Source organism: Homo sapiens, chromosome 13 (genome assembly GCF_000001405.40).
Source record: "Homo sapiens chromosome 13, GRCh38.p14 Primary Assembly".
NCBI lineage: Eukaryota > Metazoa > Chordata > Mammalia > Primates > Hominidae > Homo > Homo sapiens.
The window spans coordinates 60,250,130-60,277,055 of NC_000013.11; the positions used below are offsets into that span (position 1 = coordinate 60,250,130).

Consider the following 26,926-nt stretch of genomic DNA (forward strand, 5'->3'; position numbering starts at 1 on the left):
AAGTATTTTATTTCTCCTTCACTTATGAAGCTTAGTTTGGCTGGATATGAAATTCTGAGTTGAAAATTCTTTTCTTTAAGAATGTTGAATATTGGCCTCCACTCTCTTCTGGCTTGTAGAGTTTCTGCTGAGAGATCCACTGTTAGTCTGATGGGCTTCCCTTTGTCGGTAATCCGACCTTTCTCTCTGGCTACCCTTAACATTTTTTCCTTCATTTCAACTTTGGTGAATCTGACAATTATGTGTCTTGGAGTTGCTCTTCTCGAGGAGTATCTTTGTGGCGTTCTCTGTATTTCCTGAATCTGAATGTCAGCCTGCCTTGCTAGATTGGGGAAGTTCTCCTGGATAATATCCTGCAGAGTGTTTTCCAACTTGGTTCCATTCTCCCCGTCACTTTCAGGTACACCAATCAGACGTAGATTTGGTCTTTTCACATAGTCCCATATTTCTTGGAGGCTATTTTCATTTCTTTTTATTCTTTTTCCTCTGAACTTCCCTTCTCACTTCATTTCATTCATTTCATCTTCCATTGCTGATACCCTTTCTTCCAGTTGATCGCATCGGCTCCTGAGGCTTCTGCATTCTTCACGTAGTTCTGGAGCCTTGGCTTTCAGCTCCATCAGCTCCTTTAAGCACTTCTCTGTATTGGTTATTCTAGTTATACATTTGTCTAAATTTTTTTCAAAGTTTTTAACTTCTTTGCCTTTGGTTTGAATTTCCTCCTGTAGCTCGTAGTTTGATCATCTGAAGCCTTCTTCTCTCAACTCGTCAAAGTCATTCTCCATCCAGCTTTGTTCTATTGCTGGTGAGGAACTGCGATCCTTTGGAGGAGGAGAGGTGCTCTGCTTTTTAGAGTTTCCAGTTTTTCTGCTCTGTTTTTTCCCCATCTTTGTGGTTTTACCTACTTTTGGTCTTTGATGATGGTGATGTACAGATGGGTTTTTGGTGTGGATGTCCTTTCTGTTTGTTAGTTTTCCTTCTAACAGACAGTACCCTCAGCTGCAGGTCTGTTGGAGTTTGCTAGAGGTCTACTCCAGACCCTGTTTGCCTGGGTATCAGCAGCGGTGTCTGCAGAACAGTGGTTTTTCGTGAACTGCGAATGCTGCTGTCTGATCGTTCTTCTGGAAGTTTTGTCTCAGAGGAGTACCCGGCCCTGTGAGGCGTCAGTCTGCCCCTACTGGGGGGTGCCTCCCAGTTAGGCTGCTCAGGGGTCAGGGGTCAGGGACCCACTTGAGGAGGCAGTCTGCCCGTTCTCAGATCTCCAGCTGTGTGCTGGGAGAACCACTGCTCTCTTCAAAGCTGTCAGACAGGGACATTTAAGACTGCAGAGGTTACTGCTGTCTTTTTGTTTGTCTGTGCCCTGCCTACAGAGGTAGAGCCTACAGAGGCAGGCAGGCCTCCTTGAGCTGTGGTGGGCTCCACCCAGTTGGAGCTTCCGGGCTGCTTTGTTTACCTAAGCAAGCCTGGGCAATGGCGGGCGCCACCCCCCAGCCTCGCTGCTTCCTTGCAGTTTGATCTCAGACTGCTGTGCTAGCAATCAGCAAGACCCCGTGGGCGTAGGACCCTCTGAGACAGGTGCAGGATATAATCTCCTGGTGCGCCGTTTTTTAAGCCCGTCAGAAAAGTGCAGTATTTGGGTGGGAGTGACCCGATTTTCCAGGTGCCATCTGTCACCCCTTTCTTTGACTAGGAAAGGGAACTCCCTGACCCCTTGTGCTTCCCAAGTGAGGCAATGCCTCGCCCTGCTTCGGCTCGCGCACGGTGCACTGCACCCACTGACCTGCGCCCACTGTCTGTCACTCCCTAGTGAGATGAACCCGGTACCTCAGATGGAAATGCAGAAATCACCCGTCTTCTGCGTCGCTCACGCTGGGAGCTGTGGACCGGAGCTGTACCTATTCAGCCATCTTGGCTCCTCCCTCACTCCTACTTTTTTAATAAAGCAGTTTTTATAAAAATTACAAGTTCTAATATTGTCTTCCATCACTCCTATGGAATGTTTTCATGTCTGCCCTGGAGACGAGTCCACTCTAAACCATTGCTCTTCACGGTATGGTCCACATACCAGCTGATTGAGCATCCTTCAGAAGACTCCTAGAAATGCAATATTCAGGCCCCTCCCCAAACCCACTGCATCAGAATCTGCAAAGCTAGATATCCAGGATAATCATACATACGTTAAAGTGTCATAAACACTGAACTAGAATAAACTTCTGTCCCAGGTGGTAGAAGCCTGGATGTTGGCATTCTGAACACAGGGTCGGGGCTTGAAGATTCACCTTTCTTGTGCAGTCTTCCTTTTAATGCTCTTGCTTTCAGCTCTACGACTCACTCTCAGCAGAGGCTCTGTCCAGTGTTTCCCAAACCACCACCTTTTCCTGGTCAATTTCTTCAGTAATGGAATTTGCATAGAGGCATCATGGTTTTTTGAACCTCAGTGCCTTCACACAGACTTTTTCTGCTTTCCTCTGCCTGACATTTTTTCTCCCTCCTTCTCTCCTTCACATTGCCAACCCCTATTTGTCCTTCCAAGACCCAGTTCAAGTGGCAGGTCTCAGAAACATTTTCTCTGGCCTAACCCCCTCACCATCCCTTACCAATACAAACTCATGAACAACAGAAATGCCTCTTTGGGAGCACTTATATTTCCCCATGTTTACCTCTATCTTTTCATAGGACTTAGTAATTGCTACTTTATCTCTATCTTCAACTAAACTGTAAGCATTTAATGGCCTTTACTTCCCCAATACTCAGCACAAGGCCTGGCACATATAGGAAGTTCTCACTATATATCTGTCAAATAAAAGGATGTGTCTGGGGCCCAGTGCAGTGGCTCACACCTGTAATTGTAGCACTTTGGGAGGCCAAGGCAAGCAGATCACTTTAGGTCAAGAGTTCAAGACCAGTCTGGCAAACATGGTGAAACCCCATCTCTACTAAAAATACAAAAATTAGCCAGGTGTGGTGGCACACACCTATAGTCCCAGCTACTCAGGAGGCTGAGGCAGGAGAATCACTTGAATCTGGGAAACGGAGGTTGCAGTGAGCCGAGATTGTGCCACTGCACTCCAGCTTGGGCAACAGAGCGAGACTCCTTCTCAAAAAAAAAAAAAAACAAAAAAAAGAAAGAAATGTGTCTGAACCAACATAGAACAGCTTTCTTCATCTGCAGTTGAAGCACAAATATCCTATAAAAGTGTCTTCATTTATGTCCCAGCAATATGGAGAATTTATCCAGCCTTCTTTTGCTCTGGGCAGCATTTCTACCATCTCTGGTTTCTGATTTGATATCTCATATCTACAGTTGCTCTCTCAGCTTGAACCTTTTGGATTGAAACCAGTTAAGGGCTGGGTGCAGTGGCTCATGCTTGTAATCCCAGCACTTTGGGAGGCCGAGGTGGGCGGATCACGAGGTCAAGAGATTGAGACCATCCTGGCCAACATGGTGACACCCCGTCTCTACTAACAATACAAAAATTTGGCCGGGTGTGGTGGCACGCACCTGTAATCCCAGCTGTTCGGGAGGCTGAGGCAGGAGAATCACTTGAACCCAGGAGGTGGAGGTTGCAATGAGCTGAGTTCGCACCATTGCACTCCAGCCTGGGCAAAAAGATCAAAGCTCCGTCTCAAAAAAAAAAAAAAGTCATATGTAGGAAGCTGAAACTGGATCCCTTCCTTACACTTTATACAAAAATTAATTTGAGATGGATTCAAGACTTAAATATTAGACCTAAAACCATAAAAACCCTAGAAGAAAACCCAGGCAATACCATTCAGGACATAGGCATGGGCAAGGACTTCATGTCTAAAACACCAAAAGCAATGGCAACAAAAGCCAAAATTGACAAATGGGATCTAGTTAAACTAAAGAGCTTCTGCACAGCAAAAGAAACTACCATGAGAGTGAAAAGGCAACCTACAGAATGGGAGAAAATTTTTGCAATCTACCCATCTGACAAAGGGGTAATATCCAGAATCTACAAAGAGCTTAAACAAATTTACAAGAAAAAACCCCATCAAAAAGTGGGCAAAGGATATGAACATACACTTCTCAAAAGCAGACATTTATGCAGCCAACAGACACATGAAAAAATGCTCATCATCACTGGCCATCAGAGAAATGCAAATCAAAACCACAGTGAGATACCATCTCACACAAGTTAGAATGACGATCATTAAAATGTCAGGAAACAACAGACACTGGAGAGGATGTGGAGAAATAACGCTTTTACACTGTTGGTGGAAGTGTAAACTAGTTCAACCATTGTGTAAGACAGTGTGGTGATTCCTCAAGGATCTAGGCTAGAAATACCATTTGACCCCGCGATCCCATTACTGGGAGTATACCCAAAGGATTATAAATCATGCTGTTATAAAGACACATGTATACGTATGTTTATTGTGGCACTATTCACAATAGCAAAGACTTGGAACCAACCCAAATGTCCATTAATGATAGACTGGGTTAAGAAAATGTGGCACATATACACCATGGAATACTATGCAGCCATAAGAAAGGATGAGTTCATGTCCTTTGCAGGGACATGGATGAAGCTGAAAACCATTATTCTGAGCAAACTATCACAAGGACAGAAAAGCAAACACTGCATGTTCTTACTCGTAGGTGGGAACTGGACAATGAGAACACTTGGACACAGGGTGGGGAACATCACACATCAGGGCCTGTCATGGGGTGGGGGGCGGGGGGAGGGATAGCATTGGAAGAAATACCTAATGTAAATGATGGGTTGATGGGTGCCACGGGCCAGCATGGCACACGTATACCTATGTAACGAGCCTGCACATTGTTCACATGTACCCTAGAACTTAAAGTATAATAATAAAAATAAATAAAAACCAAAAAAAAGAAGCCAGTTAAGCTGCCTACCTTTCTTTTCCACATTGACCCTGTATACTAATTCCTGACATAATTTCAGCACCAAAGAGCATACTTTTGTCATTTCAAGGATGTAGTAGAAACGAAATCATAAATGTTATCTTGGAGAACTGGCTTTTTTACTCAGCATAATTCTCTAGAGGTTCATGTAGTTATTACATGTATCAATAGCTTGTTCCTTTTTGTTGCTGAGTAGTAGTCTTTGGTATGAATGCACCATATGTTTAACTCTTCATCCATTGAAGGACATCCCCTCCCCTCCCCTCCCCTCCCCTCCAGTCCTCCTCTCCCCCTCCCCCTCCTCTACTCTTCTTTCTTTTCCTCTTTCTTTCTTTTCCTCTTTCTTTCTTTCTTTCTTTCTTTCTTTCTTTCTTTCAGGCTATTTTTCAAAGTGACTATCATTTTTCATTTTCATCAACAATATGCAAGTAATTCCATTTTTTCATATTCTTTCTAGCATTTGGTGTTGTCACTATTATTTATTTTAGCCAATTTGATAGATGCACAGTGATATCTAATTGTGGTTTTAACTTGCATTTCTCTGATGGCTAATAATGTTGAACATCTTTTCATGTGTTTATTTACTCTCTGTGTGTTCTCTCCAGTGAAGTGTCTCTCCATGTATTTTGCCAATATTCTGATAGTATTTTTTTTTTTTTTACTGTTTAGTTTTGAGAGTTCTTTATATATTCTAGATAGAAGCTCTTTGTCAGATATGTGGTTTGCCAATATTTTCTGCCAGTCTGTGACCAGTCTTTTCATCTTTTAATGAGGACTTTCACCAAGTAAATATTTTAAAATTTGGATAATGTTCAATTTATCATCTTTTTTTATGCATTATGCTTTTGGTATCAGGTCCAAGGAGTCTTTGTGTAGCCCTAATTACTGAAAATTTTGTTTTTTATTAAAAGTTTTGTCATTTCACATCTTAAATTTAAATCTATTATTCATTTCAACTTCATTGTTTGAATAAGTTATAAGACTTAGGCCAAGTTTCTTCATGTTTTCTTGAACTTACGGCTGTCCATTTGATACAGTAGTTTGTTAAATGGGTCATCTTTCTTCCATTGAATTGCTTTTATACCTCTGTCAAAATCTTTTGGGCATAGGTATTAGTCTGTTCCTGCACTGCTGTAAAGAAATACCTGAGACTGGGTCACTTATAAAGAAAAGAAGTTTAATTGGCTCATGGTTCTGCAGGCTGTATAGGAAGCATGGCTGCGGAGTCCTCAGGAAACTTTCAATTATGGTGGAAGGTGAAGGGGAAGCAGGCACAATTTCACATGGCCAGAGCAGGAGGAATTGGGGGTGGGGGGACACACATGCTAAACACTGTTAAACAATCAGATCTTATGATGACTTACTATCACAAGAACAGCACCAAAGGGGAAATCCACCCCTATAATACAATCACCTCCCACTAGGCCCCACTTCCAACCTGAGGATGACCATTTGACATGAGATTTGGGCAGGGACACAGACCCAAATTATATCAGCATAATTGTGTGAATTTATTTCTGGATTCTCTATTCTCTTCCATTGATCTATTTTCTATCCCTCCATTAAGACCACAGAGTCTTGATTAATGTAGCTATATCATAAGTCTTAAAACAGAACTGATTCTTCCTGTTTTATTCTTTTTTCAAAATTACTTTAGCTATTCTAGTTCCTTTGCATTTTCACGTAAAATTTAGACTGATCTTATGCTATTTATCTACCAAAAACCTTGCTGAATTGTGTGAAACCTGCATATCCATTTGCAGAGAAGCAATATATTTACTATTTTGACTCTTCCAATCCATGAACGTTGTATGTCTCTTCATTTATTTATAACATTGATGTCTTACATCAGCATTGTGTGGTTTTTAGTATACAAATCATGTATGTGTCTTGTTAGATTTACACCTAAGTAATTTTTAAAAGCTAATGTAGAAGTATCATGTTTTAAATTTCAGTATCCATTACTAGTATATAGAAATATAATTAATTTTTACATGTAGATCTTGTATCCTGCCACATTGCTAATTTCACTTATTAGTTCTACAAGATTTTTTCTTTTGTAGAATTTGAAATTCTTTCGTCTGTAATAAAGACCATTTTATTTCTTCTTTTCAGATCTGTATGCCTTTTATTTCCTTTTCTTGCCTTATTACACTGGCTAGAAATTCCAGTTTTATGTCAAACAAGGGTAGTAAAAGTAGATCCTTGCAATTTAACATTAAGTATAATGTTAGTTGTAGGTTTCTTTTGTAGATGCTCTTTATGAAGTTGAGTAAATTCCCCTCTACTTCTATTTTTCTGAGAGTTTTAATCATGAATGGGCATTGAATTTTGTCAAATAAGTTGGTCTGCATTGATTTATTTCATTGTGTTGTATTTTTTTCCCTTTGATTAATATAGTGGATTACATCAAATTGATTACATTGAATGATTTTCAAATATTGAATCAGCCTTGCATCACTGGAATAAATCTCTTTTACTTATCATGTATAATTCTCTTTTATATGTTGCTAAATTCTACTTGCTAATATTTTTCTTAAATTTTTTTTGCATCTGTGTTCATGAGAGATATTGGTCTTCAGTTTTCTTATTCTGCACTGTCTTTGTCTGGTTTTGGTATATAGAGTAATACTAGCTTCATAAAATGAACTGGGAATCTTCTCTTCTAGATTTTGGAAGATGTTGTGTGGAATAGGTGTTAATTCTTTAAATGTTTGGTGGAATTCTCCAGTAGAACCAACCATCTGGGACTGAAGAATTCTTGTTTGGTAGTGTTTAAAATTATGGATTTAATTTCTTTAACATTTATAGGTCTATTTCAAATTATCTATTTCATATTGGATGGATTATGGTAGTTTTCTCAAGGAAACTACCTTGAGAAAGGTTGAGCATCCCTCATCTGAAAATTTGTAATCTGAAATACCCCAAAATCTGAAACTTTTTGAGTACCAATTTGACACCACAGTGAAAAATTTCATTTCTGACACCTTTGCTTTGTGATGGTTCAATGTACACAACTTTGTTTCATGCAAAAATCATTTAAAATATTGTATAAAATTACCTTCAGGCTGTGTGTATAAGGTTTACATAAAAATAAATAAATTTTGTGTTTAGTCTTGGGTCTCATCCCCAAGATATTTCATTATGTATATGCAAATCTTCCAAAATTGGAAAAAGAAAATCTGAAACCCAAATTTCTGGTCTCAAGTATTTCAGTTAAGGTATACTCAATCCATATTCCCTTATTATCTTTTGTTATGTCTGGAGAGTTTTTAGTGATATCATTTGTTTCATTTCTGATATTGGTAATTTATCTTCTCTCTCTTTTTCTTTGTTAATAATACTGGAGGTTTTTTTTTTCATACCCCAGTGGCACCTGGAACACCAGTGAGACAGAGCCGTTTACTTCCCCGGAAAGGGGGCTAAAGCCGGGGAGCCAAGCAGTCTGGCTCAGCGGGTCCCACCCCCACGGAGCCCAACAAGCTAAGATCCACTGGCTTGAAATTCTCCTTGCCAGCACAGCAGTCTGGGGTCAACCTGGGACGCTCGAGCTTGGTCGGGGGAGGGGCGTCCACCATTGCTGAGGCTTGAGTAGGTGGTTTTACCCTCGCAGTGTAGAGGTTTGTCAATGTTCTTGATCTTTCCAAAGAACCAGCTCTTTGTTCCGTTGATTTTCTATGTTGTTTTTTTGTTTTTAATTCCATTGACTTCTGCTTTTTATCATTTCCTTTCTTCCACCTGTTTTGGGTTTATTTTGTTCTTCTTTTATCAGGTCACTGAGATGGAATGTTATAGTATTGATTTGAGAATTTTCTCTTGATTCACTTATGCTTTTAGTGTTATAGATTTCCCTCTCATCACTGCTTTAGCTGTGCCACACAAATTTTGACATGTTGTATTTTCATTTTTATTCAGTCCAGTATATTTTGTGATTTCTTCATGCTTCTGACCTTTGTGATTTCTGATGGGCAATCTACTGTCATTTGAATTATTTTTCCCCCATTAGTGAGGTGTCATTTTTTCCTAGCTGCTTTCAATATTTTTTCCTTGTCTATAGTTTTCAGAAGTTTAATCACTATGTGTCTTTTCATGCATTTCTTTGGGTTTTGTCCTGTTTGGGCTTTCCCCAGCCTCTTGAATCTATAGACTTACATTTTCTGCCAAATTTGGGCAGTATTTAGTCACTATGTCTTTGAGTACTTTTTAAAGTATAAATTATTACTTTTTAAAGTACTTAGAGAAATCTTATTTTTCTTCTCCACCAGAACTAGGATGACACAAATGTTAGATCTTTTGTTACAGTTCACCATGTCTTTCAGGCTCTTTTCATTTATTTTTTAGTTTATTTTCTCTCTGTTGTTTAGATTAGGTAATTTCTTTTTTTCCTTTTTTTTTTTTTTTTTTTGGTTTTGAGACAGTCTCGCTCTGTTGCCCAGGCTAGAGTGCAGTGGCGAGATCTCTGCTCACTGCAAACTCTGCCTCCAGGGTTCAATGATTCTTCTGCCTCAGCTTCCCGAGTAGCTGGGATTACAGGTGCCTGCCACCATGCCTGGCTAATTTTTTTGTATTTTTAGTAGAGATGGGGTTTCACCATGTTGGTCAGGCTGGTCTTGAACTCCTGAGCTCGTGATCCGCCTGCCTTGGCCTCCCAAAGTGCTGGGATTACAGGCGTGAGACACCATACCCTGCCAGATTAGGTAATTTCTTTTGCTCTGTCTTCCAGTTTATTGATTCTTTCTTTTGTCCCCTCCATTCTACTGTTGCACTCATTTTTTTTCAGTTATTGTATTTTTAAGTTATAAAGTTCCCCTTTGGTTCCTTTTTATATTTTTTATTTCTTTTCTGGGACTTTCTATTTTTCATTTGTTTCAAGAGTGTTTATACAGTTCATTTAAGTGTTTTTATGATGGCTAATTTAAAATCTATTATTAAAAAAGATTTTAATAATATTTAACATCTGTGTCATCTCACTGTTGGCATTATTGTTAGTATTTTTAGTTAAGTTTAAGGTCTTATTTTTATTTTTCATTTTTTTATGAGATGAGCTCTTGCACTCTCACCTAGACTGGAGTGCAGTGGTACAATCATGGCTCACTGTAGCCTCAATCACCTGGGCTCAAGCTATCCTTTTGTGTCAGCCTCCCAAGTAGCTAGGACTGCAGGTGCATACCACCACACCTAATTTTTTTATTTTTATTTTTTTGTAGAGATAGGTTCTTGCTACATTGCTCAGGTCTTTGTGTTATGATGAGTGATTTTCAAATAAAATCTTAACCTTTTTATATTTTTTAAATGAGACTCTGGATCTTATCTAAGCATTTTACTTTAACTATCTTTCTCTGTCAGGAAAAGGGGAGGGAATCTCTTTGTTACTGCCTGGTGGAGGTAGAAGTCCAAGTTTCCCACCAGCCTCTTTTGACACCTGGGGAAAAGAGGTGCTTCACATTACTGCTGAAACGGTGGGACTTATGGTTCCCCCTGTGGTCTCTGTTGACACTACAGTAGAGATGGCCTTATTATTACTAGTTAATGGTGAAAGCCCCCACTATCCTCTGGGCCTTTTCTGATACCACTCCAGCAGGGACAGGGAGTGGTGCCTCATTACCGCTGAATGGGGGTGGAACTACAGACTCTCAAATGGTTTCCAGCGTTACTATGAGGAGAGGGGATTTATAACCAGTCAGCAGGAATGGATGTCCTGGCTTGTTACTTGGCCTTCTCAAACAGCCCTCTGGTGGGGGTTTTGGGCCATCTAGCTATAGTGATGTGTGATTGAAAGTCTCAGCTCCTAAATCAGCCTTTGCAGGCACGAGTGAGTTTGGGGCCACAGTCTTAACTGTGGTGCTTCGCTCTTATTGTCTAAAAGCTTTCTGCCTTGCTAGACTGTCCTTTTTCTGTCTTTGGCTAGAGAGAGCAGGTTTTTGTTGTGGTTTTTTTTGTTTGTTTGAGCCCACTGGCATTCCAATATTATTGGCTTCTTCAGCTCTAAGTCTGGGATATATGAGGCTAAAAGAAAATTTAGGAAACTCATCCCCATTTCTTTTCCTATGTCCCAAAATCTCTTGTTGGTCTGTCTTCTCTCTACCTTTCAGTGTCTTCTTGTATTTGTTTTATCTGTAAAGCTCAGGGTTTTAAAATTGTGTTTAACAGGACAAATAGGAAAAATACATCTACTCTATTTTCCAAGAAGCAGAAATTCAACACATTCCATTTTAAGATGAGGAAACTAAAACCTTGGGTAAGGATCTGCAGCTACTAGTGGCATGACAGAATTAGAAACCTACTTTTGCAGCACTTCATTCAGTGCTCTCATCATTGTAACAGTGAAATTTGGGTATCTTCTTGATACTGAAAGGATGTGTACCTGTGATGATGTAACAAGAGACAGTGTCATAAAAACACTGTAGGGACTGCCACTGACTCTCGGCAACTTTTTTTCTTTACTCTGTGAAGCAGTGTCATTCATCTGGGGTAATACCCAAGGTTCGTTGTCTCATACCGAGGAAATCAAGGACATGACACACCATAGTGAGATCAAGAGCGGAAGTTTAATAGGCAAAAGAAAGAGAAGAGCTCTCTGTGCAGAGCAGGGTCCTGGAGAAAAATGGGTTGCCAGTTCCCTGGTGAAATGCATGGGGTTTTATAGATGAGCTTGAGGAGGCAGTGTCTAATTTACATAGGGCCCAAAAGATTGGTCAGACCAGGTGTGTCATTTACATAGCACGTAAAGAAGCTGGCTGCTCCACGCTGATCTTTTATTATGCAGATGGGTTCTCTGCCCGGCCGGCGTCATGTTGCCTGTTCCTTTACTGTACAGGTGGTTGACAAAAGGAAAGATGGAGCCTCCATGTTGAACATGCCTGGCCCCCAGGTAGCCTTTTCCTATTGACACAGCTGCTGGAATTCACCCGTGCAAGCTTCCAGCTTGCTTATCTATGTCTGCAGCTCGATTTTACAGCTGTTCTTTGTTAGAAAAGAAATTAGTTGGGGGCTGCTTTTTGTTAAAAGGGAAGCCTTACTGAGGACTCTCTTACCCTAACTGCCTAAATAATTTCTTTTTACTTCCTGTATCATCTGTACTCTTTAAGAACCTCTGCACAGTTTTAGCAGCCTCACCATGTTGCCTGTCTCCGATGATGGGTCCAGAGTTTCCATATATGAGCAGTTTGGAGGCAGGAATGTGAATTTAAAAGAGGGCTGTGAACTTATAGCTATAGCCTAGCAAATGCTCTGTTTTTACTTAATTATATATTTATAGGAGGTAGAGTGGGAGATGGCTGATGGAAATAGGAAGTGTTAAATTGCCTCAAGTCATCCAACCACCTGCCTTATGTATTTTTAAAATTTTATTTTATTATGGCGAGAACACTTAATATGAAATCACCCTCTTAAATTTTTAAGTTGTATAATACAGTATTGTTGACTATAAGTACAATGTTATACAGCAGATTTCTAGAAATTCATCTTGCTTAACTGAAACTTTGTTTGTTGATTACTAATTTTCCATTCCCCCCTTCCCCCAGTCCCTGGAAACCACTGTTCTACTCTTTGATTCTATGAATTTAACTATTTTAGATACCTCATATAAGTGGAATCATGCAGTATTGTTTTTTTGTGACCGAAATATTTCACTTAACATAACGTCTTCCAGGTTCATCGATGTTGTTGCAAGTGACAGGATATCCTTCTTTTTAAAGGCCAAATAATACTCCATTATGTGTATATACAACATTTTCTTTATCCATTCAGACAGATTTGTTTTCATGTCTTGGCTGTTGTAAATAGTGTGTCAATTAACATGGAAGTACTAATATATCTTTGAGATCCTGATTTCAGTTATTTGGGACAAATGTTCCAATGTGGAATTGCTGGATGATATGATAAATATATTTTTAATTTTTTGAGGGACATCCATAGTGTTTTCCATTGCAGCTGTAGCATTCTGCAGTCCCAACAATAGTATGCAAGGGTTTCAACTTCCCCACATCCTTACCAACTCTTCTACAATTTTCCAATTTATATGGAACTACAAAAGACTATAGCTAACTAAATCAATCTTGAGAAAGAGGAACCAAGGTGGAGTCTTCACACTTTCTGATTTTAAATATATTACAAAGCTAAAGTAATCAAAACAGTATAGTACTCAAGTAAAAGCAGACATATAAACCAATGGAACAAAATAGAGACTCCAGAAATAAATCCATACATATATGGTCAACTCTTCTTTGAAAAGGGTACCAAGAAGACACAGTAGGGAAAGAATAGTCTCTTTGAGACTAGTAAGTGATGTGGGAAAACAAGATATCTGCATGCAAAAGAATGAAATAAGACCTTTATTTTGTGCTGTACACAAAAATCAATGGAAATGGATTAAAGACTTAAGTGTAAGACCTGAAACTATAAAACCCCTACAAGGACACATAGGAGAAAAGCTTCTTGACATTGGTCTCAACAATGATTTCATGGAAACTATAGGCTGAATGTTTGTATTCCAAATTTGTATGTTGAGACCTAATCCCCCATGTGTGAGTATTTGGAGATGGGGCCTTTGGGAGGTGACTAGTTCATAAAGATGGAGCCTTCATGAATGGGAATAGTGCCCCTGTGAAAGAGACCAGAGAGAGCTCTTACCCCTGTTGGTTATGTGAGGTTACATATGGAACACATGGAAGTAACAGTGGAAGATGGCCATCTATGAGGAAGTGGGCTCTACTAGATATTGAATCTGCTGGTGCCTTGTTGTAGGACTTCCCAGTCTCCAGAACTGATAGAAATAAATTACCATTGTTTATAAGCAACTCAGACTGTGGTATTTTTTTAAATTTTTTTAATTTTTTTTTTTTTTTTTTTTGAGACAGAGTCTCACTCTGTCACCAGGCTGGAGTACAGTGGCGCCATCTCTGCTCACTGCAACCTCTGCCTCCTGGGTTCAAGCGATTATCCTGCCTCAGCCTCCCTAGTAGCTGGGACGACAGGCATGCACCACCATACCCAGCTAACTTTGGTATTTTTAGTAGAGATGGGGTTTCACCATGTTGACCAGGATGGTCTTGATCTCTTGACCTCATGATCCACCTGCCTTGACCTCCCAAAGTGCTGGGATTACAGGCACGAGCCACAGTGCCCAGCTTGTAGTATTTTGTTATAGCAGTCTGAGCATATTAAGACAATGGATAGGACACCAAAAAGCAAAGGCAACAAAAACAAAAATAAACAAGTAGGACTACATGGAACTAAAAAGCTTCTGCACAGCAAAGGAATCAACAGAGTGAAAAGCCAACCAATAGAATCAGAGAAAATATTTGCAAACCATATATCTGATATAAGGGGCTAATCTCCAAAATATTAAGAAACTCCTACATCTTAGTAGCAAAGAAACTAATAACATGATTTAAAAATGGGTTAAGGACTTGAATAGACATTTCTCCAAACAGTACATACAAATGTCCAAAAGGCATATGAAAAAATGCTCCTCATCAGTAATCAAGAAATGCAAATCAAAACCTCAATGAGATATCACTTGTCTTGTTTTAAGCTATAATGATAACAATATGCTGATATGATAGCCTCTGTTCGTTTTAATTAATTAATTTAGGAAGACGGGATATTTAGGTTAACATAAATTGGAGGTTATCTTTGACATCTGAAGATTAAAGAACACCTTAATGAGTAAATTTGCTTATTTTGCCCCTACTGTTGGCATCAGGTACACATCTATATCCACATAAAAGCAGAATCTGTCACTTCTGAGTTCCGCTTATCCTTGCATAAGTCTCAAGTATCAAAATTGATTTTTGAAAATGTTAATTTGAAAAACAGCAGAGGTAAGATTCAAGGATGCTTGCTCTTAGAAAAGGATTATTTATTAAAGGAAAGACTTGTCTTTTGAAAATTATTATCATAATTATCACTAAGAACCCAATTCTATATTTCTTATTAAGGCAAAATCCCTATTAGGCTAACACAAGAAGGATGTTGATTGCAGTAGGATATCTGTCTGAGTGGGGCTAAGTAATCAGCTTTGAAATGTCACTCAGAGGGAATTAGCAGGGCACAGGCTATTTTCTGGCAGATCTCAATACATTTTTTTTAATTGTCAAGGATTTGACATTGGCCTTGCATAGGTTATTATTTTATATAACTCCAGAAGCAATATTTAGGACTCAAAAAATTATATTGGAACAAAGAAAATAGCATAGAAGTCCAAGGAGCCACATCAACTCACTGACTATGTTGAGAGTCACTGAATCATGTACTCCTAAAGTCATTTGGTCCCAACCCACACTGGTGAATAATTCTTTTCTGCAGTCACCTTGCTACAGTGTTTTTCCATCTCATGCCAGGAAAATTGGAGACCTGCAATGACAGGACAGGCCATTTCAGTCTCTGTGTGCTGACTTCCTTGTCTTCATTTGTAGGTCTTGACTCTATTCCTTGGGGTCATGCAAGGGTTTTGTGAGTAAATAATGAGAATGCAGTTTAGCCTAAATCATTTAAAAACATTAAAAACCTTAATACAATAGGCACTTGACATTTTGAAAGGTTACATGACAAAACTTTTAATATTCTCCAGACATGAAAATGTTGCTATAGAACATAATTGCTTCCCTAAAGTGTATCAAGTTCTAAGTAGCAAACTACAGCCACCCACCACTGAGTTTCCACATGCTAAGAAGTTGACTAGTTTTATTCACTCCCTAAGAATTTGATAAAACACTTTATCTCTGTAATTTCCACAGCTTATTCATTTCTTCATTCCTTTACTCATTCTACAGAAATGTTTGAAGGCCTAGTCTGTGACAGGTACTGTACTAAGCTCTAGGTATTTTGGGGAATAAAACAAATGTAATCCTTGCCCTTAGAGTGTTAACAGTCTAGAAAGAGTATCAAAACAAGAACAGAATAGACAAGTAAATAAATATAAATTACGCTAAGTGCACCGAAGGAAACAAACACATAATACATAGTATTACGTATTGCAGAGGAAGACCTCTATTTTTATTTATTTATTTAGAGATGAGGGTCTCACTATATTGTCCAGGCTAGAGTGCAGTGGCTATTCACAGGCACAGTCACCACGTGATATAGCTCAGATCTCCTCCACTCAAGCAATCCTACTGCCTCCGCCTCCTGAGTAGCTGGACTACGGGCATGTGCCACTGTAATGCCTAATGTTCTTGCCTAGCCACGCCAAAGAATTGGTGTGGCGGCTGACTGCGGCGAGTGATAGAGACACAGACTGAGGAGAGTGGGGCTGAGGGAAGAGGCCCTGAGTATGGAGGCAATTGTGGGCCTTTGTCATTTGGGCAAAGCTTGCAGGCTTGGCACAGGGCAGTATTGTCACAAAGGGCAAAGAAAGCCTGTGCATAAGGGACTTCACTCCATTTACCTTCCTTTTTACAGAAAAGATCTAGTTGTAGAATGGTGTTATAATTAATACTTCCCTCAGGGGGCCAAGTTTCTCCATTTTGTAAGGAGTACTGTGGCCAGGCATTGGTACAGAAGAAAATCAGCCGCTTCTTTTTTAAGGTTTCAGGGTTGAATTTGTTCCAGTAATTCAGGATACATCTTAAGGGAGTGTCCAGTTTTGAAGGTGTGATGCCCATCTGGAATTTTAAACACAGGGACGCCCGCACCCCTGGTTAGTCCTGGGACTTGTCTTCCCTTAGGGTATTCCCTAAGGGTCAGGTCCAATTGTGCTCAAAGCTCATGGCCACTTTTCCTGAGCTCTCCATCTACAGCATTTAACCATGCTTACCAGCAGGGTGGAAACTTCCCTTGCCCCTGCCATGGGCCCATTGACCACTAAATGGAGCACAAGGATTGTTGGATTTATGGTGGTCCTTCTGCCAACACATCCTACCTGTTCCAGGGTGGCAAGGCTTGGGTCAGGGGCACCACTGATGCTTGCATACTAAGGCCCAATTTATGTGGGCCTGGCCATAAAACCGTCTTTCAAGGAGAAATCTCTGAATTAGCCACAGGAGGCTTAGTAAGCTTAAAGGAGGTAGTGGATGTCCTCTAGGCCAGGGCCAAGAGAACAGCTGCTGTACTTTAGCCTTCTGTCCCCATTTGCCATCAAAGGAGTAAGCCCCCCTCTCAAGGCGGTACCAGTATCCTGTGTCCCAGTTGACCATATTTTCTTCCATCCAATACCAATTATTGAATGGTTGAAACAACAATTCAACGGCTCTAAGACCTGTGCCTATGCACCACAGATTGTACTTGAGAGGCACCAAGGAAGGGGAAAATTTATCTGGGGAGCAATGGAGGAAATGCCCTAAGGCTTCTATTATCCACATGAAAATTACAGACCTGCCTTTAAATTGTCCTGATGTGGGGGACCATACACCATGGTGGGGAACTGGCCCTTCAAAATAGCCATCAAATGGCGACATCTGCCTAAACCCTGGAGGGAACCATGAACAGGGATCTTTTGGGCACCACCTGAAGAATTAAAGACTTCTAAATAGGGAATCTTGATCCTGCCTAGCGGGAATAACCTTGCTTATGAGATTAGGAAAGAAGTCTAACTGGCGGACATTAGGACCCAGGAGGCAGGAGTCAGAAGATGTGGCTGTCTCACGCTCAGTAACCTGTGCAGGGGGAGCCTCTGGTGGGGCCATGGTCTCAACCAGGATATCCGGGAGACTAAGACGTCTGCTGAGCACTCCCGGTGTACCTTGGGACCACCACAGAAAGCAAAAGAGTTGGAACTGGTTCCAGGCCAACCGGCCAACCAACGCTCCCAAACCCGAAGGGTCAGGGGTTGTCACAGAGCCCTTTTCCGGACAGCCTGACACCTGTGTCTTTAGTCCGGTGGCCGTGCTAATCGCCTTTAAGTGGCCAACAGGTGCCCGGTTTAGCCTCCGAATTCTAAGGAAGGACAGGACAGAATAGCAAGTGAAAGAGGTCCGATCATACTCACCATGTGACGATCTAGATGCCTTTCCTGGAGACTCCTGGCTGGCTCGCCAAAATGTAACACGTAAGGTTCTTGCCTAGCCACACCAAAGAATTGGTGTGGCAGCTGACCGCAGCGAGTGATAGACACAAGGACTGATAGAGAGAAAAAGCGGTAGGCTTTATTGAGCAGAGTGAAAGTACAAAGCTTCCACAGCGTGGAAGGGGTCCCTCCCGAATGGGTAGCCAGAGTTAGATTATACAACTGCCTTTTAAACTCTTTAAGGTGGGAAATACGTGCAGCGGGAAGATGTTACCAGAGCAAGAAAAAAAGACAACCATTTGTGACATGTCTTAGATCTTAAGGAAAACCGGAATTGCAACTTAGGTTTTATTTATTTTATGACCTCGCAGCGGCATGGCAAAGGAGACAGCATCTTACAGGACTTTACAAAGTATGTTCACAAGGAATTGGGATTGGGAGTATAGATAAGGTCCACTGGTCACAGAAAAATGGCCAGTTAACATTCTTTTTACTTTAGTTTCGGGGGAGGGGGAAGGGGAGAGAGGGAGAGAGGACACAGAGAAACGTACAGGAAAATTTTCGCTGTTTATGGCTTTCTTGGGGAAGAAAACACATGCAGAAATCCTGGTGTTAGGAATAGTTTAAGCATGTATCTTCAATATTATCCATCCAGGACCAAAGTAAGTCCTGATGCAGGAAATAAGGGAGTTTCACAGCTTTCTGAGCCCCTACTCGACCCAGGAAGCCCAGCCAGCCCCTCCTCTCACCACTGCACTGGGCTGTAGAGGAAGGCAATAGAAGAACAGCATATGTAAAGTTCCTGAGAATGGAAAAAGCATGGGGCCTTTGAGTATTGAAAGAAGGTCAGTGTGGCTGCAGAGTAGTGAGAAAGGGGAAGGGGCCGGGAGATAGTTGAGTTTTGTGAGACAGGAAATAGCCAAATCATATGGGGTCTTTGTAGACCATAGTAAGGAGTTTGGATTTTATTCTCATGCAGTAGGAAGCCAATGAATGGGTTTTAATAGAAAAGTGACATGTTCACAGATCAGGTCAAACTCATGGCAATCCAGAGTAGCCATTTTGCAGTAGGGTCTAAAATTTGCTTGTTAACTCGAAGGAAAGGCAGCCAGTAATGATCTGTGATATAAGAAGATGACTGTAGTTGTTGTGGAGAAAACCGGTTTTTGGAGTCATGTCAGTACCCAGTAGAGAAGCCTGCAAAATAGTCAATGTGAGATGGTAGCTTAGACTAGAGTGTCAGTGGTGGAAGTGAAGAACAGTGGAAGGATTCGATGTACATTTTCAATGTAGAAATGACAGAGAGATTGTGTTGATACGGTGTAACCAGAATGAGTATCGTTGCTGAAGTGGAGGAGTTTGGGGAGATAAGAGTGGTGGGTTGCCTTGATTGTGTGGTTTGGGACTGCCTTGTTGCTTGTGAGATGCTGGGAGATGTCTGAGAGCAGATAGCTAGCAGGAACCTGCAAACCAGAACTCTGAGGAGAGGTTTTGGGTGTAAAGTTGGTATTCGGGGGCATATAAATGGAATTTAAAGTCATGGGAACTGAAGAGATCCCCTAGAAAGAGGGCAATAAGGAAGAAAAGAGAGCTCAGGACTAAATCCTGGGGAAACGCAACAATTAGAAGTCAAAAGGAGATAGGGGTTCACAAGGAGTGTGAGGAGGATTTGGCAGAGAGATAGAAGGAAACCCAAGAGAGGATGGTGTCAATTAAGGAAAGAGTTAAGGGTAGAAGGGGAGAAAGAAAGATAAACTGCCTACTGTATTGAATACTGGTAAGGAAGAGGCTGGTTCTTAATTTCAAAGAGCATAAACATCAAATCAAATTTAGAAGTATTTATCATACTTATTTCATGTGTATTTCACCTACTATCATGTTTCTCCTGCAGGAGTGATGACTACTATCTGATTCATGAGCACTGTCAAATCTCATACTTTAAAAAAAGACTTTAATCTTTTTTTCTTCATAAATTTTGATTCTCCCTGAATTCTCTGGATAATTTCCACAATTCTCTTTATTTTGCTAACATATGCAGAATCTATAATCTTCAAGTCTTCACTTTTCAAATGCAAAACTATTTTAGAAGCAGTTTATTGTCTTTTGAAAATTATCCATGTTCATTTAAAAACAGATTAGCTCTTCACCTTCAACGTATTTGAATTGTCATGTTACAGGAGACTTGGAATATTAAGCTTATCGGAAAGTTAGGACAAGTTTTCCCTAGAGGGTGGAGAGTAGTTTTAAATTCGAAGTGGAAAAAAAGTTCCATATCTTAAAATAGAAGCAAATTTTTTCTCTGTTTCACATTCTCTCAAGATATCCTCAATCCTTTTTAAACTCTCTATTTATTATTAAATACAAGCAATTTAGCTCCTTTGTAAGGTTATGCAAATAACTCATCCAGAATTAGCATTTAACATGCAATTCTTATATCCACACAAATGTTTTGTATAAAGTTGTTTTAAAAAGATTCAAATCTTTATAATTAGGAAGGGAAAATATATTAATAGGAATAAAGGGATACTCTGCTAATCTCCCATATGTAAATTAGCTTATAATTTCCATCATTTACTTTAGAAGCAACAGAACAATGGAACTTTTATTCTTCAATATTGCTGTCTCTCTCCTTCTCCAGCCAGAAAGTCTGTGCTTATACATGTATATCTAAAGAAAAATAACAAGGAATGTTAAATATTTTAGTTTTGTGGGAGAGAGATGGTTGGGTAACTTGTGAGTGGGATTGAAGTTGATACTCTGTGCTTTGGCAGCCTAAGGGATAAAATGCAATGTAGACCCTCTTGGGTTCTCATTTCAACTGCTTGCATTTCCTTTTGTTCTTTGTTAGTGGGGCTGGATTCACTCCTGCCTACCTGGAACCTTCCTCCACAGCTTCTCACTCCTTCCCCAATCTTTACATAGAGGACATTCTCGTAGAATGTATGAGGAAATTGTTCATTTCCTTAAAGTGCTTTCTCTTTGCTTTAGTCTTTAGCTTAGTCTTTGGAAAAGAAGATCATGCAAACTGCAGATAAACATTGGTTAACAGTATAGGCTAGGTTCTTCCATCTCACTTACCTTCTGGAGCTTGGCTTGTATCTTCCAAGATACCAGAAATCAAGTGCACTGTCCTGGGAGTTTGGTATAAGTTGGTAAACTGGAAGTAGGATTATGAAGGATTCAAAACTAAGTCAGACAAAGAACTGTTGAAAGGATTAAGTCGTTGACCCTGGAAGTGGAAAGGGGAGCTCTGAAGAGACTTTAAACAGAAAGTGGAGGCTGAGGCTGAGCGTGGTGGCTCACGTCTGTAATCCCAGCACTTTGGGATGCCAAGGCGGGTGGATCACTTGAGGTCTGGAGTTTGAGACCAGCCGGGCCAACATGGTGAAATCTTGTCTCTACTAAAAATACAAAAGCTGTAATCCCAGCTACTTGGGAGGCTGAGGCAGGAGAATCACTTGAACCTGGGACGCAGAGGTTGCAGCGAGCCAAGATTGTTCCACTCCACTCCAGCCTGGACAACTGAGTAAGACTCTGTCTCAAACAAATAAAATAAAATAAATAGAAAGTGGGTTTAAATATGTGTCTTACAGTTGCCAAGTGGTAGAACTAGGAAAATGGGTGAAACGTTTAAGGGATGCATGTTTCTCCTTCAACAAACATTGAAGAAACTGCCAGGTATCGGGTAGAGCTCTGAGAAACTAGATGCAAGATGGAAATCAGCACTTATTCACTTCAAGGAAGTTACTGTCCAGTGGGAAAGACATGCAAGCAAACAATTATAACAGATCATGATAAATGCAAACAATACGTATTGTATTCAGTGAGAGAATAGAGGAAGGCAGCCTGTATCTGCCTTGGGGACAGATCTGCTTGGACTATCTGCTTGCGGGTGCCAAGGGCAGCTCCTCCATCCTCACTGACACCACTTCATGCAAAATTCCATTATCTTTCATCTGAGTTTCTGAAACTGTCTCAGAGCTGGTCTTCCTGCCTTCAGCTTTGCTGCTTCAATTCTTTCATCCACATTGCAGACAAAGTAATATTTCCAAAAAGGAAAACCTGATTCCCCCACTAAAAGCCTTCAATAACTTTTGATTACCACAAAAACAAAATCCAAATGCTCAAGGGCCCCTGCTTCAATCTCTAACCTTTTCTTGCTCCCCACATTTAAGCTCTATTTACAAAGAACTACTTGCCACTTTCCTAAGTCACCATTTCTTCCTAACTCCTGGGCTTCTGCACATGTAGCTCTCTGCCTGAAACCAGCTTCCCTCAAAATCCACACATATAGAAGTAAAAAAAGAGAACAAGTTTGCATGCACACACATATTGTGCATATATCCATGTGCACCCACCCCCACACACTTCCCATTTCTACCCTTGCCTTACTAACTCGTTCTTTCTTCCTCTGGTCCGCAACACCCCAAGACTCAGTGTTATTCCTCCTTGTGGGTACACTCCTATGTGGCACCCTCTGTGCATACCTAATCAATGAACTCATCACGCTGTATTGTACTTGGCTGTTTACTTTTCCATCTTTTTGTTGTTGCTGTTGTTGTTTTTGATACGAGTCTTACTTTGCTGCCCAGGTTGGAGTGCAGTGGTGCAATCTTGGCTCATTGCAACCTCTGCCTCCCGGGTTCAAGCGATTCTCTGGCCTCAGCTGGAATTACAGGCATGTGCCACCATACCCAGCTAATTTTGTGTTTTTAGTAGGGAAGGGCTTTCACCATGTGGGCCAGGCTAGTCTTGAACTCCTGACCTCAGGTGATCTGCCTGCCTTGGCCTCCCAAAGTGCTGGGATTACAAGAGTGAGCCACCACGCCCAACCCCATCTTTTTTTACTGGAGGAAAATCTGCTTGAGTGTGGGGACCACATCTTATTCCTCATTATATTCCCAGCAGCTACCATAGTTCCAAGTACATTGTAGAATGTGACTATATATTTGTTTAATAGATGAGTAAATGAATAGCATTTTGAAGAATGCTATCCAAAAATGTGAGAACGTTCTCACATTTTTGGGTAGTATACAAATATATGTTACATATCTCAGTTGAGTGATGGTTCTAAAAACTTTGGAAGGTTCTTCAAACCAAAAAACTATGATTATATAAATCTGTCTTAGATCATTTTTAGAAAGAGGTAATAAATAAGTAAATAATCCATGAACTATTTCTTACCTATGGGCAGTGTGATGGTTAATTATACGTTGACTTGACTGGGGTGTGGGATACTCAGATATCTGGTTAAACATGATTTCTTGGCATGTCTGTGAGGGTGTTTCTGAAAGAAATTAGCATTTGAATTGGTGGACTAAGTAAAGCAGATTGTCCTTCCCAATGTGAGTGGGCATTCTCTAACCTGTTGAGGGCCCAAATATGACAAAAAGGTGAAGTGAGGTTGAATTATTTCTCTATACCTGACTACTTAAGCTGAGGCATTGATCTTCTCCTGCCCTTAAACTAGGACTTACCCCATTAATGCTCCCAGTTCTTAGGCCTTTGGGCTCAGAGTAGGATTGATATCACCAGCTTTCCTGGGTCTTTAGCTTGCAGGTAGCAGAGGGCATGAAGAAACTGAGGCCCAGAGGGGTGAAGTGAGATGCTCTTAGTCACAGATAGGCTCTAAATTCTTGCCCCAGTACTTTCTACCACAGTCCACCATTTCACAAATAAGGCTGCTTGAGTTATTTGGAATTTCACTCCCCATCTTATTTCTAATTATTTTAGACCAGATTTTCCCTGAGAGAATGAGTTCCTAGTGGGAGCCCAACACTGGTCAAAGCAAGTCTGTTCTGTCAAGGACTCTAAGAGACTCTTTCCTTCTGGCGTCTTTCTTCTAGACTCAGTTAACCAAGAGAAGGGACTCAAGGTGTACATTTGTCTTGAAAGTGAGGCCTCACAGCATCAACTAGGGGAAAGTACTAAGAGTAAGTCTAAGGCTGACTTTCTTCCTTCAGGCTCTCAGGATGGCAGTTGTTCTGGATCCACCTGGATTCCTCATGTTGCTGTTGCCAGGCACATCCATGCCAACCTCCAGGTGTCTCCTTTCCATCAAAAAGGTGGTGCTATTTAGACAGGACTTTCCTCAGGAATGCAATGATTATTGTGAAATCTGCATAATTTCACCTTTTGTCAGTCATGAGACAGGAGCAGTCCTCCATCAGATGATAAGGGTGCCTAAGTTACTTTCTCAGCCTTACAGGCAGCTCCATAAGTGACCATCCTGCCCCTCTTTGTTGGTTCTATGAAAAGAATTCAGGTTATGTCAATAAACAAAACATTTATGGTGAAAAAACATATGGGAATGAGGAGAGCAAGTGCCTCAGGGGATTAGAAAAAGGCCTACCTCAAGGCCTCATGGAGAAGGTTTGTATTCTGGTATTTTGTGATTAACATGACTTAACTTCTGTCTCCTGTTGTTTCTGAGGAATTTCTTTCTACATGTGCATTTTATACTTTATGACTATGGCATTAATGGCCTCTGCAAATGGCCTTCTCTGCAGTCCTTTTACCTTCAACCCCTCTGCTAATTGCTCAACTCTGTTTTTTATTTCACTTTCAAATTCCTGGGAGAAAAATCTCATTGCCCTGCCTAATCAACATCATCCCTTGCTAGACAAAGCTGTTCTGTCAAACCACCTAATAAACCTCTGGATATTGGCTGGCCTTTTATCACTTGGTCTAGGAAATGTTGTGTTATATAAAATGTTATATAAAACGCTTAAAAGTGGGGGCAAAGCGGTCGCTGCCTTGGTGTCCCTGTCATGCTTCCCAGCAGTGGCCTAGCAGAAAAGTAAAAGATATCTGAATATATTCGCGTACCGAAGATGAGAAGGATGAGCCCATTGAAATACCATCGGAAGACGATGGGACGGTGCTGCTGTCCATGGTTACAGCCCAGTTTCCAGGGGTGTGTGGGCTTCGCTACAGAAATCCAGTGTCTCAGTGTATGAGAGGTGTCCGGTTGGTAGAAGGAATTCTTCATGCCCCCGATGCTGGCTGGGAAATCTGGTGTATGTTGTCAACTATCCTAAAGATAACAAAAGAGAAATGGATGAGATAGATGCTTCATCAGCTGTGAAAGTGAAAAGAGCAGTCCAGAAAACATCTGATTTAGTAGTGTTGGGTCGCACATGGAAAACAACTGAGCAGGACCTGAAAGAATATTTAAGTACCTTTGGAGATGTTCTTATGGTGCAGGTCAAGAAAGATACTAACACTGGTCATTCAAAGAGGTTTGGCTTCGTTTGTTTTACGGAAGATGAAACACAGGTGAAAGTAATGTCACAGCTACATATGATAGATGGACGATGGTGTGACTGTAAACTTCCCAATTCTAAGCAAAGCCCAGATAAGCCTTTGAGAAGCATGAAAGTGGGGCGCTGAACAGAGGACATGATTGCAGATGAGCTGCGGCAGTTCTTCTGTCAGTACGGGGAAGTGGTGGATGTCGTCATCCTCAAGCCATTCAGGACGTTTGCCTTTGTTACATTTGCAGATGATCAGGTTGCACAGTCTTTTTGTGGAGAGGACTTGATCATTAAAGGAATCAGCATTCATATATCCAATGCCGAACCTAAGCACAACAGCAATAGACAGAAAGAAGTGGAAGATTTGGTGGTAATCCAGGTGGCTTTGGGAATCAGGGTGAATGTGGTAATAGTAGAGGGGGTGGAGCTATTTTGGGAAACAATCAAGGTAGTAATATGGGTGGTGGGATAAACTTGGGTGCATTCAGCATAAATCCAACCATGATGGCTGCAGCCCAGGCAGTGCTACAAAGCAGTTGGGGTATGATATGCATGTTAGCCAGCCAGCAGAACCAGTCAGGCCCATCGGGTAATAACCAAAGCCAAGGCAACATGCAGAGGGAGCCAAACCAGGCCTTCGGTTCTGGAAATAACTCCTATAGTGGTTCTAATTCTGGTGCAGCAATTGGTTGGGGATCAGCATCAAATGCAGGGTCGGGCAGTGGTTTTAATGGAGGCTTTGGCTCAAGCATGGATTCTAAGTCTTCTGGCTGGGGAATGTAGACAGTGGGGTTGTGGTTGGTTGATATAGAATGGTGGGAATTCAAATTTTTCTAAACTCATGATAAGTATATTGTAAAAATACATATGTACTAAGAATTTTCAAAATTGGTTTGTTCAGTGTGGAGTATATTCAGCAGTAAGGAGGTATACCTAATGTAAATGACAAGTTAATGGGTGCAGCACACCAACATGGCACATGTATACATATGTAACAAACCTGCATGTTGTGCACATGTGCCCTAGAACTTAAAGTATACATATACATATGAAGAGCTAAAGGAATTTTATAAGTTTTGTTACAAGAGCTTGGCACGGTGGCTCATGCCTGTAATCCCCACACTTTGGGAGGCTGAGGCAGGTGGATCACGAGGTCAGGAGTTCAAGACCAGCCTGGCCAAGATGGTGAAACCCCGTCTCTACTAAAAATACAAAAGTTAGCCGGGCACAGCGGCAGGTGCCTGTAATCCCAGCTACTTAGTAGGCTGAGGCAGGAGAATCGCTTGAATGTGGGGGGCGGAGGTTGCAGTGAGCTAAGATCGCACCACTGCACTCCAGCCTGGGTGACAGAGTGAGACTCCATCTCAAAAAATAAAAAAAAATATATAAATAAAAATAAGTTTTGTTACATGAAAGGTTGAAATATTGAGTGGTTGAAAGTGAACTGCTGTTTGCCTGATTGGTAAACCAACACACTACAATTGATATCAAAGAGTTTCTCCTGTAATATTTTATCCCTGGACTTGTCAAGTGAATTCTTTGCATTTTCAAAATGGAAACCATGGATTAGAACTACATTCTTTACTCCTTGTTTTAATGTGAACCCCACCATATGAATTTTTTTCCTTAAGAAAATATCCTTTTGGGAGATCATGGTGTCACAGTGTTTGGTTCTTTTGTTTTGTTTTTTAACATTTGTCTCCCCTCATATACAAAAGCACAATATGAAGCCTTCATTTATTCTCTGCAGTTCATCTCACTTCAAATGTTTATGGAACAAGCATTTCATTGAAAGTAGTGCTGTAAATATTCTGCCATAGGAATACT

At 40.8% G+C, this 26,926-nt stretch overlaps 1 long non-coding RNA gene and 1 pseudogene across 1 annotated transcript in view, besides 1 other annotated feature; one reads left to right on the top strand and one right to left on the bottom strand.

The window, feature by feature from the left end:
- Positions 1-17,975, bottom strand: part of LINC00434 (long intergenic non-protein coding RNA 434) — a 53,758-nt gene extending 35,783 nt beyond the window's left edge. Inside the window, exon 1 of the long non-coding RNA NR_047022.1 lies at positions 17,826-17,975. This is a non-coding gene — a long non-coding RNA (long intergenic non-protein coding RNA 434). The remainder of the gene's footprint in view (positions 1-17,825) is intronic.
- Positions 11,506-11,800: an enhancer, noted in NCBI's record as "tiled region #561; K562 Activating non-DNase unmatched - State 3:PromF". NCBI's record gives its function as "activates a minimal TATA promoter and a strong SV40 promoter by Sharpr-MPRA in K562 cells {active_cell/tissue: K562}" and the evidence as "EXISTENCE:reporter gene assay evidence [ECO:0000049][PMID:27701403]".
- TARDBPP2 (TARDBP pseudogene 2) lies at positions 24,591-26,021 on the top strand (annotated as a pseudogene).